General features: G+C 39.6%; 1 annotated feature.

Annotated features, from left to right (window-relative positions):
- Nucleotides 15,090-15,149: a silencer, noted in NCBI's record as "silent region_19810". NCBI's record gives its function as "represses an Ori minimal core promoter by ATAC-STARR-seq in GM12878 lymphoblastoid cells {active_cell/tissue: GM12878}" and the evidence as "EXISTENCE:reporter gene assay evidence [ECO:0000049][PMID:35858748]".

The raw sequence follows: 15,629 nt of genomic DNA, 5'->3' as shown, positions 1-15,629 counted from the left end.
TGCCTATAAGCAAATTAGATTGATTTTTCTTTCTTTCTTTTTCTCTTGTACAAGAAAGGGTTCCCTTAGTATTGGAAAGGGTATGGATAAACATTGCTGAGGGGAAGTATATTTGTATAACATCTATGGATAAAAATTAGCAATATCTATGAAGAGTTTAAAGACTCTTTGCCTTTAAATTTGACTCAGCAACTCTACCTCTAGAAATTTATTCTGCAGATATATTTCCACATGTGCAAAATGGCCTATTTATAGGAATGGTCACTGAAGCTTTGTAATAACAAAAGATATGAAACAACAATCATAAATGAGTAGGGATTTGAATAAATTTTGAGGCTTTCCTACAACAAATAACATATAGCTATTAAAAGAAATTCAGCAGATCTAGTAATATATAATGATTTTCAAGATATATTGTCAAGTGAAAAAAAAGATTTGGAGTATGTAAAATACTCCAAATTAAATTTTAGAAATATTCGTATATGTGTTGTATACACATAAAATATTTCTGTAAAGACACACAAGAAGTTGTTGACGGTTGCCTGAGGGTAGTGTGTGAAGGAAGATTTACTTCGTGCTAAATACAATTTGCTACCAGTTTTTGATCCAAGAGTATGAATTATCTAATAAAAAATAAAATAATAAAATAAACACTGGTAGAATGAAGTTTCTCTAGAACTGGCTACATTCTATTTAGTAACAATTGTGTAACTGTCAAATTGCACTAACAGGAAAAGAAAAAAGAACACACCAGGATAAATGAGTTAGTCTTAGTTTCCTCATTTATAAAATGGGTACAAGGGTGACTACTTTGTAGTGTTGTTGTTTAGAGTAGACATAAAAAGTATAAACTACCATAGTGTCAGATACACAGTAGTTATTTATTACCTACCAGTACACACACACGCACGCACGCATGCACACATGCACACAGTCCTCTGGTTCAGGCTTCCAGTTTCCCCAAGCAATTCCCAGACCTAGCTGGGCTTGAAGCAGAAAGAATTAGGCATAACCAGAGCATCTTCTCACCATCACAGGATTTAGCATTAACCGTATGTCCATCTCTTCGACTTCCTAACATTACCTGTTAAGGTACTATACTGGGTGTTTGGATACAATGATGAGCAATACAAAACTCCAATACCTTAAAAAATATTATGCAGTTTGTACATGGATGTATTTACATTCAAACAATACAAAATAATGTTTCTCCTCACTACTAATCCTTTCCCTAGAGGTCACTGGTGATATCAGTCCCTAAGAAAAATGATAAAAAATTATAAATTCAAAACTAAATATAGGCCTTAAAAGGGAGTGATACAGCTGAGGTGTCCTAATGGTTAAATGGAAGTTTACCTTCAACTTCAAGGGAAGTTTACCTTGATCTCTGGTAATCCTATAATCCAGTGCTGTCCAAAAGAACTATCTACAATGATGGAGGTGTGCTATATCTACAGTGTCCAACACAGTAGCCATATGTAGCTATTTAATATTTGCAATATCTTTAATGTGACTGAAGAACTGAATTTTATTAAATTTAAAAAGCCGCATGTTCCTTGTGACTATCATATTGGACAGTATAGCTGTGGAATAAAGATGTGTGGAATAAAGATGTTCAGAATAAAATAGATAGGCTATAGCAGAGAGGAGATACAGAAAAAGAGAACATCTTGGGCTTCCTATAGCACTGCAGTTTCCAGTTGTAACTTTTACCTGCATTTCTGTCCTCTTTCTGCTATAATCTACCTACAGTTGATTTCTATTACTTACAATCTAAGATTTTGTTTTAGTTTACTAGGGCTTCCCTACAAACACCATGGTACATGGTATACCACAGACAGGGCGGCTCAAACAATAGTTGTTTTTTCATAGTCTGGAGGCTGGAAGTACAAGATCAAGATGTTGATGTTGACAGATTTGGTTTCTCCTGAGGCCTCTCTCATTGGCTTGTAGATGGCCCCTTCCCACTGTGTCCTTACATGGCCTTTTCTCTGTGCCCATGCACCTTTGGTGTGTCTTCCTCTTGTAAAGACTCCAGTTCTACTGGATTAGGGCTCCACCCTTACAACCTCTTGTAGCCTCAATTACCTCTTTAAAGGCCCGATCTGTAAATATTGCCACATTGGAGGTTAGCGCTTCAACATGTAAATCTTGGGGGAACACAATTCAGTTCATAGCAGATTCCTAATTAATACATCTAATTGATTTGTTTTTTTTTTTTTTTAAGAGTTGGAGTCTCGCTCTGTCGCCCAGGCTGGAGTGCAGTGGCGCAATCTCAGCTCACTGCAACCTCTGCCTCCCGGCTCCCAGCAATTCTTCTGCCTCAGCCTCCCGAGTAGCTGGGATTACAGGCGTCTGCCACCACACCCAGCTAATTTTTGTATTTTTAGTAGAGATGGGGTTTCACCATATTGGCCAGGCTGCATCTAATTCATTTATCTGTATCTTATTCTTACCACAATTTAAAAACCTAATTAGATGAAGAAACTCTGGTAAAAATATGTATTTATAGGAGCCCATAGCTTGTGGAAAGGTCTAGTTTCAACAAAATTTTTGGTGATACTTATTTGGGAATATAATTCTCTTGACAAGATGTCTAGTGGAAGTATCAATCATACTTGTGGTTTGTCTCTTTAAGATTGTACCTACTACGTATAACCTCATATGTTCTCATTTATGTTGCAAATAATTCCCACATTTTTGATAAGGAATGTGTGTACATAGCAATTTGCTAGTAACTGTTTAATAACAAACTGCAAAAAATAAATATGTACATGTTTATTATAAATTTTACTGACATAAAGGATATGTAATACAAAACTTACAAATAATAATAAAATATATAATATTCTCTATTCTGTATAATGAACTTATTCTCATACAATGTTCTCACTGATTTAGCCAAACTCTTGTATCTTTAGTTAACCTATGGTTGCAATTAACAAATGAGAGTAACTCTCAAATGAATATCAATTGACATTTTCATTTATATTGACGAGTAAGATGAGAGTATAACAATAGAATTGAATGAAGTTGAATCTTGTTAACAATATCAGTTAACCTCTTTGCTGAGTTTAAAACTGTTTTCAAACACTTAAAGAATATTCCTCAATATTTTGTGCTATTCAAATGTAACAGCTACAAACATTTTAGAGCTTAACCTACAGTATTAACCGTGATAACATTTTCCCCCATCTTTTTAAGGCCGGTTATTAAGCACATCCATCTTTTTAAAGTAGAAAATCAACAAAACAATAACTCAAGCTCTGATTTAAGTTTTTTCAATATCCATGGTACAAATACTCCACCCATGGTCTATTTCATATCATATCAATGATATGATGTCATATCAGGGTGACATCACCAAATACGGAATCAAGAAGTAGCACACCAGTATGTAGTAATTCCATTATAGAAATACAGTAGACTTAACCTCAAAAAGTATAGATAATAGTAAAATAAATAGAAGTAATGATATTATTTATAACCTTTCTTTTTAATATGATTTACTTAATTGTAACTTTATCCTTTAATTTTTAATAATGGATGTGCTTAATAACTGGCTTGCCTCATTCTTGAATATTTAACAATTGGGTCTCTCTAGCTGGTCTGACACAGTTTCAGCACACCACTGTATATGTATGGGGATGTGTATGTGTGTGTGTTTGCCTGTGTGTGCACATCCCCAACTCAATACCATACTAGAGAGTTAGGATAGCGAATGGAAGAAGGTAGAATATAACAGGGGGCAAGCCAATAGTTGACATTAAGAAATTTTTAAATCTGAGCTGAATGATTAAAGCAAAGAAAAGCAAAGAAGTATCATTCAAACCTCCAGAGCTGAGCCAAGACACCCAAGCTAAGCTGCCACTGGATGTTTTTAAGAATTGGGCTCAATGGGAAAGAAAAGTAAATGGAAATGGCTGGACAATGTGGCTCATACCTGTAATCTCAGCGCTTTGGGAGGCCAAGGTGGGCGGACTGCTTGAGCTCAGGAGTTTGAGACTAGCCTGGGCAACATGACAAAACCCCATCTCTACAAAAAATATAAAAATTTGTTGGGCAGATGCACATCCCCAACTCAATACCATACTAGAGAGTGACTATAACGAATGGGAGAAGGTAGGATATAACAGAGGGCAAGGCAATAGTTGACATTAAGAAATTAGGCGTTGTTTTTAATCTGAGCTGAATGATTAAAACAAAGAAGTATTATTCAAACCTCTGAGGCTGAGGTGGGAGAATTGCTTGAACCCGGGAGGCAGAGGTTGCAGTGAGCCAAGATCACCCCACTGCACTCCAGCCTGGGTGACAGAGGGAGACCCTGACTCAAAAAAAAGAAAAAAAAAAAGTAGTAAAACAGAACCAAGACAGTCAGTAATATTTTTAAAGTAAACTTGATTTTTACAATAGTTTTAGATTTACAGAACTATTAGAATATAGTCTAGCGAGTTCTCATTAACTCTGTACCCAGTTTCCCCTTTATGAATATATTACATTAGCAAGGTATATTTATTGCAATTAATGAACCAATATCAAGACATTACCATAACTGAAAGTCCATGTTTTAATCAAATTTCCTTAGTTTTTGCATAAATTCCCTTTTGCAAACCAAGAACCCATCCAGAATATCATATAACATTTCATCATCATGTCTTCTCAGGCCCCTCTTGGTTATGACAGCTTTTCAGTTGTTCCTTGCTTTGGTCATCTTGACAGTTTGAGAAGAATGGGTCAGGTATTTTTTAAATATCTATCTTTTGGGATTTGTTAGATGTCTTTGTCATTATTAGACAGGGATAATGTTTTTTTGGGGAAGAAGACTACAGAGGTTAAGGGCGATTTTCAGCCAAGCGCGGTGGCTTACGCCTGTAATCCCAGCACTTTGGGGGGATGAGGAGAGTGGACCACCCAAGGTCAGGAGTTCGACACCAGCCTGGTCAAAGTGGTGAAACCCTGTCTCTACTAAAAATACAAAAATTAGCTGGGCATGGTGGCGGGCGCCTGTAATCCCAGCTACTCGGGAGGCTGAGGCAGGGGAATCGCTTGAACCCAGGAGGTGGATGTTGCAGTGAGCCAAAATCACTCCATTGCACTCCAGCCTGGGTGACAAGAGCAAGACTCCATCTAAAAAAAAAAAAAGGATGACTAGATGATTTTCATCGTATCATATCAAGAGAACATACTGTTGATATGATTTATTACTGTTTATGTTGACCCTGATCACTCTGCTGAGGTAATTTGTGCTTGTCAGGCTTTTCCATCACAAGTTACTCTTTTATTTCCCTTTTTCATACTATACTCTTTGGAAGAAAGTCACTATGTGTGGCCTGAACTGAAACAGTGAGGAGTTATGCTTTATCTCCTTTAGGTTGGCATATCTACATAAATCATTTGGAGTTTTTCTGCATGGAAGATTGTTTCTTTGCCCCCATTTATTTATTTATTCACTTATTTACTTATATTAGTGTAGACTCATGGCTATTTATTTTATACTTTGTGTTACAATTCAATACTGCTTTATTTGTTTCCCCAAAGTGTTCCAGATTTGGCGTCAGGAGTTCTTGGTATTGGCTCTTTCAGTACATCTATTTGACACAGCCCCATCTTTGTGGGCTTGTTTTTGTTGTTAGCACTTCTTTCCTTTCTGGCACTACAAAATGTTACAGGCTCATCATGTATATTTCCTGCCCTAGTCCTAGAAACACCAATTTTTCTAAGAAGCCCTGTTTCCCTTTATTGCAGAGTGCTATTACAAACCATGAACTGGATGCCAGATGTGCTTGTTACTACTGGGGTACTGTTGCTTCTAGGCCTTCTCATTTGTCAATGGAAGGGAACGTTTGTGTATACTAATCATGTATGTACACATATCTATATGTGTCTATATGTAGCCATGTGTACGTGTATGTAGCCATGTGTATCTACATTAAGCCAAATATGATTTAATATTAATATATCCAACTGTAATCCATTACCACAGAGATTATTTTAGCTCCCTCCCTTTGATTAGGCATAAACTCTCACTCCAGCAGAGAGAAACCAGCCTCACTACCCACAATTTACCATAATTTACTTAACTGCTCAATTCCAATACACACGTATAGAAGTATTAGAATTGTTAACCCATATCCCTGTGAAAAACAAGAGTGTGGCGTTTATAAACAGTTTTTCATTTAGTATTACAGACTCCACTAATTTCCAAAAGTTACTTAGGTCTGCACTTCTTTTACCACCACCTGCAGTGAGGTTGTTTCACACATTTGTAATACAGTTAGATTATTTTGTCATATTCTACACTCTATCCTTGATATAGTTTGGATCTGTGTCCCTAAACAAATCTCATGTTCAATCATAATCCCCAATGTTGGAGGTGCGTCCTTGTGGGTCTGGTGATTGGATCATGGGGGTGGTTTCTAATGGTTTAGCACCATCCTCCTAGTGCTATTCTTGTGATAGAGTTCACACGAGATCTGGTTGTGTAGGTGTGTAGCCCGTCTACCTTCTCTCTTCCTCCTGCTCTGGCCATGTAAGACATGCCTGCTTGCTCTTTGCCTTCCACCATGATTGAAAGTTTCCTGAGGCCTCCCCAGAAGCTGTCATGCTTTCTGTACTGCCAGTGGAACTGTGAGCCAATTAAACCTCTTTTCTTTATAAATTTACCCAGTCACAGGTGTTTATTCATAACAGTGCAAGAACAGACTAATACAATCCTGGAATTTTCTGACATTCTAAATGATTTTTAAAAATATGTATTTACTTATTGTAATAGTTATTTTAGGTTCAAGGGTACATGTGCAGACTTGTTATATAGATGAACTGTGTGTTAGAAGGGTTTGGTGTACAGAAAATTTCATCACTGGGCAATAAGCATAATACCCAACAGGTATTTTTTCTGATCCTCTCCCTCCTCCCACCCTCCGCCCTCAAGTAGGCACCAGTGTCTGTTGTACCCCTCCTAGTATCCATGTGTTCTCATCCTTTAGCTCCCAATTATAAGTAAGAACATGTGGTATTTTGGTTTTCTGTTCCTGTGTTAGTTTGCTTAGCATAATGACCTCCAGCTCCATTTATGTTGCTGTAAAGGACATGATCTCATTCCTTTTTATGTCTGCATAGTATTATGTGGTGTATATGTATCACATTTCCTTTATCTAATCTACCTTTGATGGGCATTTAGGTTGATTCCCATCTTTGCTACTGTGAATAGTGCTGCAATGAACATTTGTGTGCATGTATCTTTATGGTAGAATGATGTCAGCTTTGTCAAATATCCAGTGGTTGTGGCCTTATTTCTGGGCTCTCTATTCTGTTCCATTGGTCCATGTGCCTGTTTTTGTGCCAGTACCATGCTGTTTTGGTTACTGTAGCCCCGTAGCATAGTTTGAAGTTGGGTAACGTGATGCCTCCAGCTTTGTTCTTTTTGCTTAAGATTGCCTTGGCTATAAGGGTCTTTTTTGGTTTCATATGGATTTTAAAACAGTTTTTTTATTTTTTTAGGTTTTGTGACTAATGGCATTGGTAGTTTGTTAGGAATAACAATGCATCTGTAAATTGCTTTGGGCGCTATGGCCATATTAATGATATTGATTTTTCTTATCCATGAGAATAAAATGTTTTTCCATTTGTTTGCATCATCTCATATTTCTTTGAGCAGTGTTATATAATTCCTGTTGTAGAGATCTTCCACATCCCTGGCTAGCTGTATTTCTAGGTATTTTGTTCTTTTTATAACAATTGTGGTGGGATAGTGTTCCTGATTTTGCTATCAGCTTGAAAGCTATCGGGGTATAGGAATGAAACTGACTTTTGTATGTTGACTTTGTATGCTGAAACTTTGCTGAAGATGTGAATCAGATTAATGTGCTTTGGGGCAGAGACTATGGGGTTTTCTAGGTATAGAATCATGTCATTTGAAACAGGGATAGTTTGACTCCCTCTCTTCCTATTTGGATGCCTTTTATTTCTTTCTCTTGCCTAATTGCTGCAGCCAAGACTTCCAATACTATGTCAAATAGGAGTGGTGAGAGAGAGCATTCTTGTTTGTGCCAGTTTTCTTTTCTTTCTTCTTTATTTTTTTTTTATTTTTTATTTTTTATTTTTATTTTTTTTTTGCTCTTGTTGCCCAGGCTGTAGTGCAATGGCACAATCTCAGCGCACTGCAACCTCTGCCTCCTGGATTCAAGCGATTCTCCTGCCTCAGCCTCCCGAGCAGCTGGGATTACAGGCATGCACCATCACGCCCGCTAATTTTGTATTTTTAGTAGAGACAGGGTTTCTCCATGTTGGTCAGGCTGGTCTCGAGCTCCCAATCTCAGGTGATCCGCCTGCCTCGGCCTCCCAAAGTGCTAGAATTACAGGCCTGAGCCACCACGCCTGGCCTCTTTCTTTTATCTTTTCTTTTTTTTTTTTTTGGTCAGGGTTTCACTCTTACCCAGGCTTGAGTGCAGTAGTGTGATCATAGCTCACTGCAGCCTTGAGCTCCCAGGCTCAGGTGATCCTCCCATTTCAGCCTCCCGAGTAGCTGGGACCACAGGTGTGTGCCATCACGCCTGGCTAATTTTTCTTATTTTTTTGTAAAGACAGGGTTTCCCTATGTTGACCAGGCTGGTCTCAAACTCCTGGGCTCAAGTGGTCTGCCTGCCTTTGCTTCCCAAAGTGCTGAGATTACAGGCATGAGCCATCGTGTCTGGCTGTTCTAGTTTTCAAGGGAAATGCTTCCAACTTTTGCCCATTCAGTATGATGTTGTCTGTGGATTTGTCATACATGGCTCTAATTATTTTCAGGTATGTTTCTTCAATGCATAGTTTATCGAGAGTTTTTAACATGAAGGGATGCTGAATTTTATCAAAAGCCTTTTCTGCATGTATTGGAATTATCATGTGGTTTTCATTTTTAGTTCTGTTTGTGTAATGAATCACACAAACATATGTTTTGTCTATGTTAAACCAATCTTGCATCCCAGGGATAAAGCCTGCTTGATAGTGGTGGATTAGCTTTACACTGTGCTGCTGGATTCAGTTGCTAGTATTTTGTTGAGGAGTTTTGCATCTATGTGCATCAAGGATAATGGCCTGAAGTTTTCTTTTTTTGTTTTGTCTCTGCCAGGTTTCGTTATCAGGATGATGCTGGCCTCACAGAAGGAGTTGGGGAGGAGTCCCTCTTCCTCAATTTTTTGGAATAGCTTCATTATTAATGGCACCAGCTATTCTGTCTACATCTGGTAGAATTTGGCTGTGAATCTGTGTAGTCCTGGGCTTTTTATGTTTAGTAGATGATATGGTTTATACCTGTGAACCAACCCAAATCTCATGTTCAATTTTAATCCCCAGTGTTGGAGGTGGGGACTTGTGGGAGGTGATTAGATCATGGGGGTGGTTTCTAATGGTTTAGCACCATCCCACTACTGCTGTTCTCGTGATAGAATTCTCACAAATCTGGTTGTTTAAAAGTATGTAGCACCTCCCCTCTCTCTCTCTTCCCCCTGCTCTGGCCATGTAAGACATACATGCTTTCCCTTTGCCTTCTGCAATGATTAAAAGTTCCCTGAGGCCTTCCCAGAAGCTGTCATGCTTCCTGTACAGCTTGCAGAACTGTTAACCAATTAAACCTCTTTTCTTTATAGTTACCCAATCTCAGGTATTTCTTTATAGCAACATAAGAATGCATTAATACAGTTGGCTTTTTACTACTGATTTAACTTTGGAACTCATTGTTTGTTTGTTTAGGGATTCAGTTTCTTCCTGGTTTATGTGTCTTGGAATTTATCCATTTCTTCTAAATTTTCTTTTCTTTTTTCTTTCTTTTTTTTTTTTTTTGAGATGGAGTCTCACTGTGTCACCAGGCTGGAGTGCAGTGGCTCAACCTCAGCTCACAGCAACCTCCGCCTCCCAGGTTCAAGTGATTCCTCTGCCTCAAGCCTCCCAAGTAGCTGGGACTACAGGCACATGCCACTGGGCCCAGCTAATTTTTTTTTTTTTTTTTATATTTTAGTAGAGATGGGGTTTCACCATGTTGGCCAGGATGATCATGATCTACTGACCTTGTGATCCACCCTCCTTGGCCTCCCAAAGTGCTGGGATTATAGGCGTGATCGACCACACCCAGCCTTCTAAATTTTCTAGTTTGTGTGCTTAAAAGTGTTTATAGTAGTCTTCAATGTTTTTTTTTATATCTGTGGGTTCAGTGGTAACGTCTCCTTTGTCATTTCTAATTGTGTTTATTTGGAACTTCTGTCTTTTTTTCTTTATCAGTCTAGCCAGTAGTCTATCTATCTTATCAATATTTTCTAATAACCAACTCCTGGATTTGTTGATCTTTTGTATGGTTTTCAGTGTCTCAGTTTTCTTCAGTTCAGCTGTGATTTTGGTTATTTCTTGTCTTCTGGTGGCTTTGGGGTCTTACTTTGCTCTTGCTTCTCTAGTTCTCCTGGTTGTGATGTTAGGTCGTTAATTTGAGATCTTTCTAAATTTTTGATGTGGGTATTTAGTGCTATAAACTTCCCTCTCTTAACATGGCCTTAGCTGTTTCCCAGAGATTTGGATATGTTATATCTTTTTCTCATTAATTTCAAAGAATTTCTTTATTTCTGCCTTAATTTTGTTGTTTACCCAAAGGTTATTCCAGAGCAGATTGTTTAATTCCTATGTAATTTTATGGTTCTGAGTTATGTTCTTAGAACTTATTTCTATTTTTGTTGTGCTGTGGTCTAAGATTGTGGTTGGTATAATTTCTGTTTTTTTTTTAATTTGCTGAGTATTGTTTTATGTCCAATTTTGTGTTTGATTTTGGAGTATGTGCCATGTGGCAATGAGAAGAATGTATTTTTTGTTGTTTTTGGATGGCAAGTTCTATAGGTATCTATTCCGTCCCTTTGGTCAAGTATTGCATTCAGGTCTTAAATATGTTTGTTAATTTTCTGCCTTGATGATCTGTCTAATTCTGTCAGTGGGATGTTGAAGGCTCCCAATATTATTGTGTGGGGGTTCTAAGTCCCTTTGTAGGTCTCTAAGAACTTGTTTTGTGAATCTGGGTGCTCTTGTGTTAGATGTCTGTCATATTTAGGAGAGTTATACCTTCTTGTTGAATTGAACCATTGAATTGAAGGGTATTATATAATACCCTTCTTTATATTTTTTGATGTTTGTTTGTTTAAAGTCCATCTTGTCTGAAATTAAGATTGTAACCTCTGATTTCTTCTGTTTCATAGACTTTTCTCCGCCCCTTCATTTTGAGCCTATAGATGTCACTGCATGTGAGATGGTTCTCTTGAAGACAGCATACCATTGGGCCTTGCTTCTTTATTCAGCTTGCCACTCTGCGCCTTTTAATTGGATCATTTAGCCCATTAGCTTAGTACTAATATGTGTGGATTTGATTTTGTAATCATGCTTTTAGCTGATTATTATGCAGACTTTTTTTTCTGTGGGTGCTTTTCAGTGTCATCGGTCTGTGTACTTAAATGTGTTCCTGTAGTGGCTTGTAATGGTCTTTCCATATTTAGTGCTCCTCTCAGGACTTTTTATAAGGCAGGTGTGTTGGTAATGAATTCCCTAAGCATTTGCTTGTAAGAAAATGATCTTATTTCTTTTTACTTGTGAAGTTTAGTTTGGCCAGATGTAAAATTCTTGATTGTAAATTTTTTCTTTAAGAATGCTGAATATATGGGGAGGCCGAGGCGGGTCAGGAGGACCTCCTCACGAGGTCAGGAGATCAAGACCATCCTGGCTAACATGGTGAAACCCCGTCTCTACTAAAAATACAAAAAAAAAAAAAAAAAAAATTAGCCCCGCATGGTGGTGGGCACCTGTAGTCCCAGCTACTCGGGAGGCTGAGGCAGGAGAATGGTGTGAACCCAGGAGGCGGAGCTTGCAGTGAGCCGAGATCGCACCACTGCACTCCAGCCTGGGTGAAACAGCGAGACTCTGTCTCATAAAAAAAGAATGCTGAATATAGGCTCCAAACCTCTTCTGGCTTGTAGAGTTTCTGCTGAAAGGTCTCCTGTAAGCCTGATGGGATTCCCTTTGCAAGCGACTTGCCCGTTTTCTCTAGCTGCCTTTGTCTTTTTTTTTTTTTTTTTAAATTTCAACCTTGGAGTATCTGATAATTATGGGTCTTGGGGATGGTCTTTTTGTGTAATGTCAGCAGGGGTTCTCTGCATTTCCTGGACTTGAATGTTAGCCTGTCTCATGAGGTTGAGGAAGTTTTATGTATGACATCCTAAAATATGTTTTCCAAGTTTCTTGCTTTCTCCCCATCTCTTTCATAGATGCCAGTGAGTCCTATAATTGGTCTCTTTACATAATCTTCTATTTCTTGTAGGTTTTGTTTATTCTTTTTTAATTTTTTATCTGAATGAGTTATTTCAGAGAGCCAGTCTTTGAGCTCTGAGGTTCTTTCCTCAGCTTGGTCTGTTCTGCTGTTAATATTTGTAATTACATTGTGCAATTCCTGTAGTGTGTTTTTAAGCTATATCAGATCAGTTGGGTTCTTTTTTATGATGGCTATTTCATCGATCAATTTCCGTATCATTTTATTGTGATTCTTAGCTTACTTGGATTGGGTTTCAACATTGTCTGAATCTCAATGATCTTCATTCTTATCTGTATTCTGAGTTTTATTTCCATCATTTTAGCCATTTCAGCCTAGTTAAGGACCCTTGCTGGGAAACTAGTGCAGTTGCTTGGAGTAAAGAAGGCACTCTGGTTTTTTGAGTTGCCAGAGTTCTTGTGCTGGATCTTTCTCATTTGTATGGGCTGTTGTTCTTTCAGTCTTTAACATTGCTGTAATTTGAGTGGATTTTTTTTTTTTTTTTTTGCTTTTTTCTTCTTTGATGCCCTTGGGGGTTTCATTATTGTATAAGGTGGCTTTGGTTGACTGGTTTCAATTCTAGTCCACTCCTGGGTCTTGGAGGAGCCCCCTCCAATTACTGTCTCTGTGCCTATGTTTTTTGTTGGGTTTTCGGGTCCATGGTGTTCCCTCAGGCAGGAGCTGCTGTTGGCAGACAAGCTGTATCCTTGCCAAGTCAGCACTAATATACTATCCATGTGCTTCTTGGAGAAACACGGGCTTGTGCCTTTTCACAGAGTGCAGGTAGAACAGAACTGCTGGGTTGGAAGCTCTATTGGGTGGGCCCTGTCTGGCTATGGGAGGCAGGTGTGAGTGGAGTTGCTCACCCTGCTCTCTGGGTGTTTCCAGGGCAGCAGGAGGTTGTGACCCTCAGCAAATTCTGGCAGAAGTAGGACCACTGAGCCAGAAGTTCTAACAGGCATGGCTCACCTGGCTTCCAGCAGCAGGGGTGTTTGGGGACACCCACCCTACCATCCAGATACTTCCTGGGACAGCAGGAGGCTGTGCGCACTGGCTGAGTTCCCACAGATATAGGACCTCTGGGCCAGAAGGTCTAGGAGGCATTGCCCGCCTGTCTACCAGTGGCAGGGATGGTTGGGGCTACACACCCTGCTGTCTATGCATTTCTTGGGACAATGGGAGGCTGAGCCCTCCAGCTGAGTCCCCATTGAAGTAGGAGCACTGGGCCACCTGGCTATCAGTGGTGAGGATGGGTACATTCTCCTGCCCTAATGTCTGAGTGCTTCCTGGGACAACAGGAGGCTGTGTCCATGGGCTAAGTTGACACAGAAGTGGGACTACTGGGCTGGAAGCTCTATCGAGGGTTGCCCGCCAGGATACCAGTGGTGAGGGGTGATTGGAGTGGCCAGACAAGTTCAGGCTGAAGTGGGACTGCTGGGCCAGAAGCTGCCATCAAGCCCTGTCCAGCAAGAGGGGGCGGGGCAATCTTACTTCTCCCAGGCACTGCAACTGTGGCCTCTTTTGGGGCTGTGGAACCAGTGCTGGTCTACTCAAGGGGCCAAGGCTTGTAGAGGTCCCCTTGGACTCAAGAGTTGCCCCTGCAAAACATCTAGTTGGCTCTCTGCCTCAGTCTAGGAGCATGGTGGTGGCAGGTGTCCAGGGGGTCCAGGGGGATTCTCCCATTCCAAGTCTTGTGTGGGTCCCTGTGCAGAGTGTGAATTCCTCTGGGGGCTCTCACTCACTCACCCTTTCCCATGTTGGAGAGGTTCTCTTGGCTTCACTCTGAGTCCTGAAAGGCTGGTGCCCAACTTTGCTCATCTCTGTACTCTGTGTTCACCCACTGCCTTGATGGATCCCAGCATGGTTTTTCAGATGATCAGCCTGGAGGGTCAATGTTCACTAGCCCTTTTGTTTCCTCTCTATGAGAGCAGCACACATGAGCTGCTTCTAATCTACCACCTTGGCCCTGCCCCCTCCTAAGTGATTTTTAAATTTTGCATACCTTAAGTTCATTCTTTGTATTGTAAAGTCCAATGGGTTATGAAAAAACATGTCATGCATACACAATTACAGTATACAGAATAACTTCACTGCTCTAAAAAATCCCCTGTCCTTCACCTATTCAATATTTCTCTCCTTCTCTTGAACCTCTGGCAGCCACTAATCATTTTACTCTCACTATTCACAGGTACTGGGGGTTAGGTCTTGGAAATATCTTTGTGGGAGACGCTATTCATTGCTTTTCCTTCTAGAATCTAGAGGGGGAAAAGTGCACAGGACCAGAGGTAGATTTTCCAGAGACTAGCCCAAAAGATGAAGGCCCTGGCAAGATCAGTATAAAACATGCAGAATCTCTGGGGAATAAAACTAGAGCCCTAACTGAACAAGCATTTTTGAGTAAAGCCCAAAGAGGATAAGGATTTGACTTTTTTGGCCATTAGGAAAATCTGGACAAGACTTATCTCCCATAAACTGAAGTGGAGCAACTAACTGAAATGGCCCTTTGATAGGACCAGGTGGATTAAGGAAAATAAATCAGCACACAGGATGAACTCACACTAGGAAAGAGGAATGAGATAGAATGGAGTGGAGGTGCCTTCCCTGGGCGTCCTCTCATGGTGCATTTAGACACAGTCACAGAACACAATCCTGGCCCAAAATAACTAGGAAAAAAGTAACTAGGTGTTACTTTTCTATTTCTCAAATTACTTTTTATAAATAAGATCTCCATAAGTTGTTATTACAGTACTCTAAAGCATTACTATGACAGTTTTAAAATCAGAAAATAGAGGATCTGAGAGATCACACAGTTTATCGAGGGCATGAGAATCCTCCAGCCCTTCAATAGTGATACTGAGACGTACTACACAAGCTTCCTCAACTAAGTGTTATTATTATACTCATTTTAAGAATGAGAAAGCTCGGTCTTAGAGAGGTACTGTAACTGGCCCAAACGCACACATCTAGTGAATGATGGAGCCAGTAATTGATTCTAGTTCTGGCCAGGAGAACAGAGACTATACCTATTGGGACTGACATTGTTCTGGACTGGGCAGTCTAAATTCTTTGGCCTTTCTCAAGAAGGCATTTGAGACTAAAGCCATCACACTTCTCACTCCCATTTTCATCAGGCAGAGATATGAATAGAAGCAATTAATCCTGGCCAGTTTATTTTACCTTCCCATCATCCCAATAATGCTCTCTATACTTCCTTATTTTTGACTCAAACTTCTCCACCTCCCAAACTTTGCACTGTGCTCCTTTGTACTTTTCTCAATAATCAATCTGTATAATCTTTATAGCCTGAACCTCCTCCTCA

This window comes from Homo sapiens, chromosome 9 (assembly GCF_000001405.40).
Source record: "Homo sapiens chromosome 9, GRCh38.p14 Primary Assembly".
NCBI classification, from domain to species: Eukaryota; Metazoa; Chordata; class Mammalia; order Primates; family Hominidae; genus Homo; species Homo sapiens.
The sequence above is the reverse complement of the archived record's forward strand: the minus strand, read 5'-3'. Positions and strand labels throughout refer to the sequence as shown.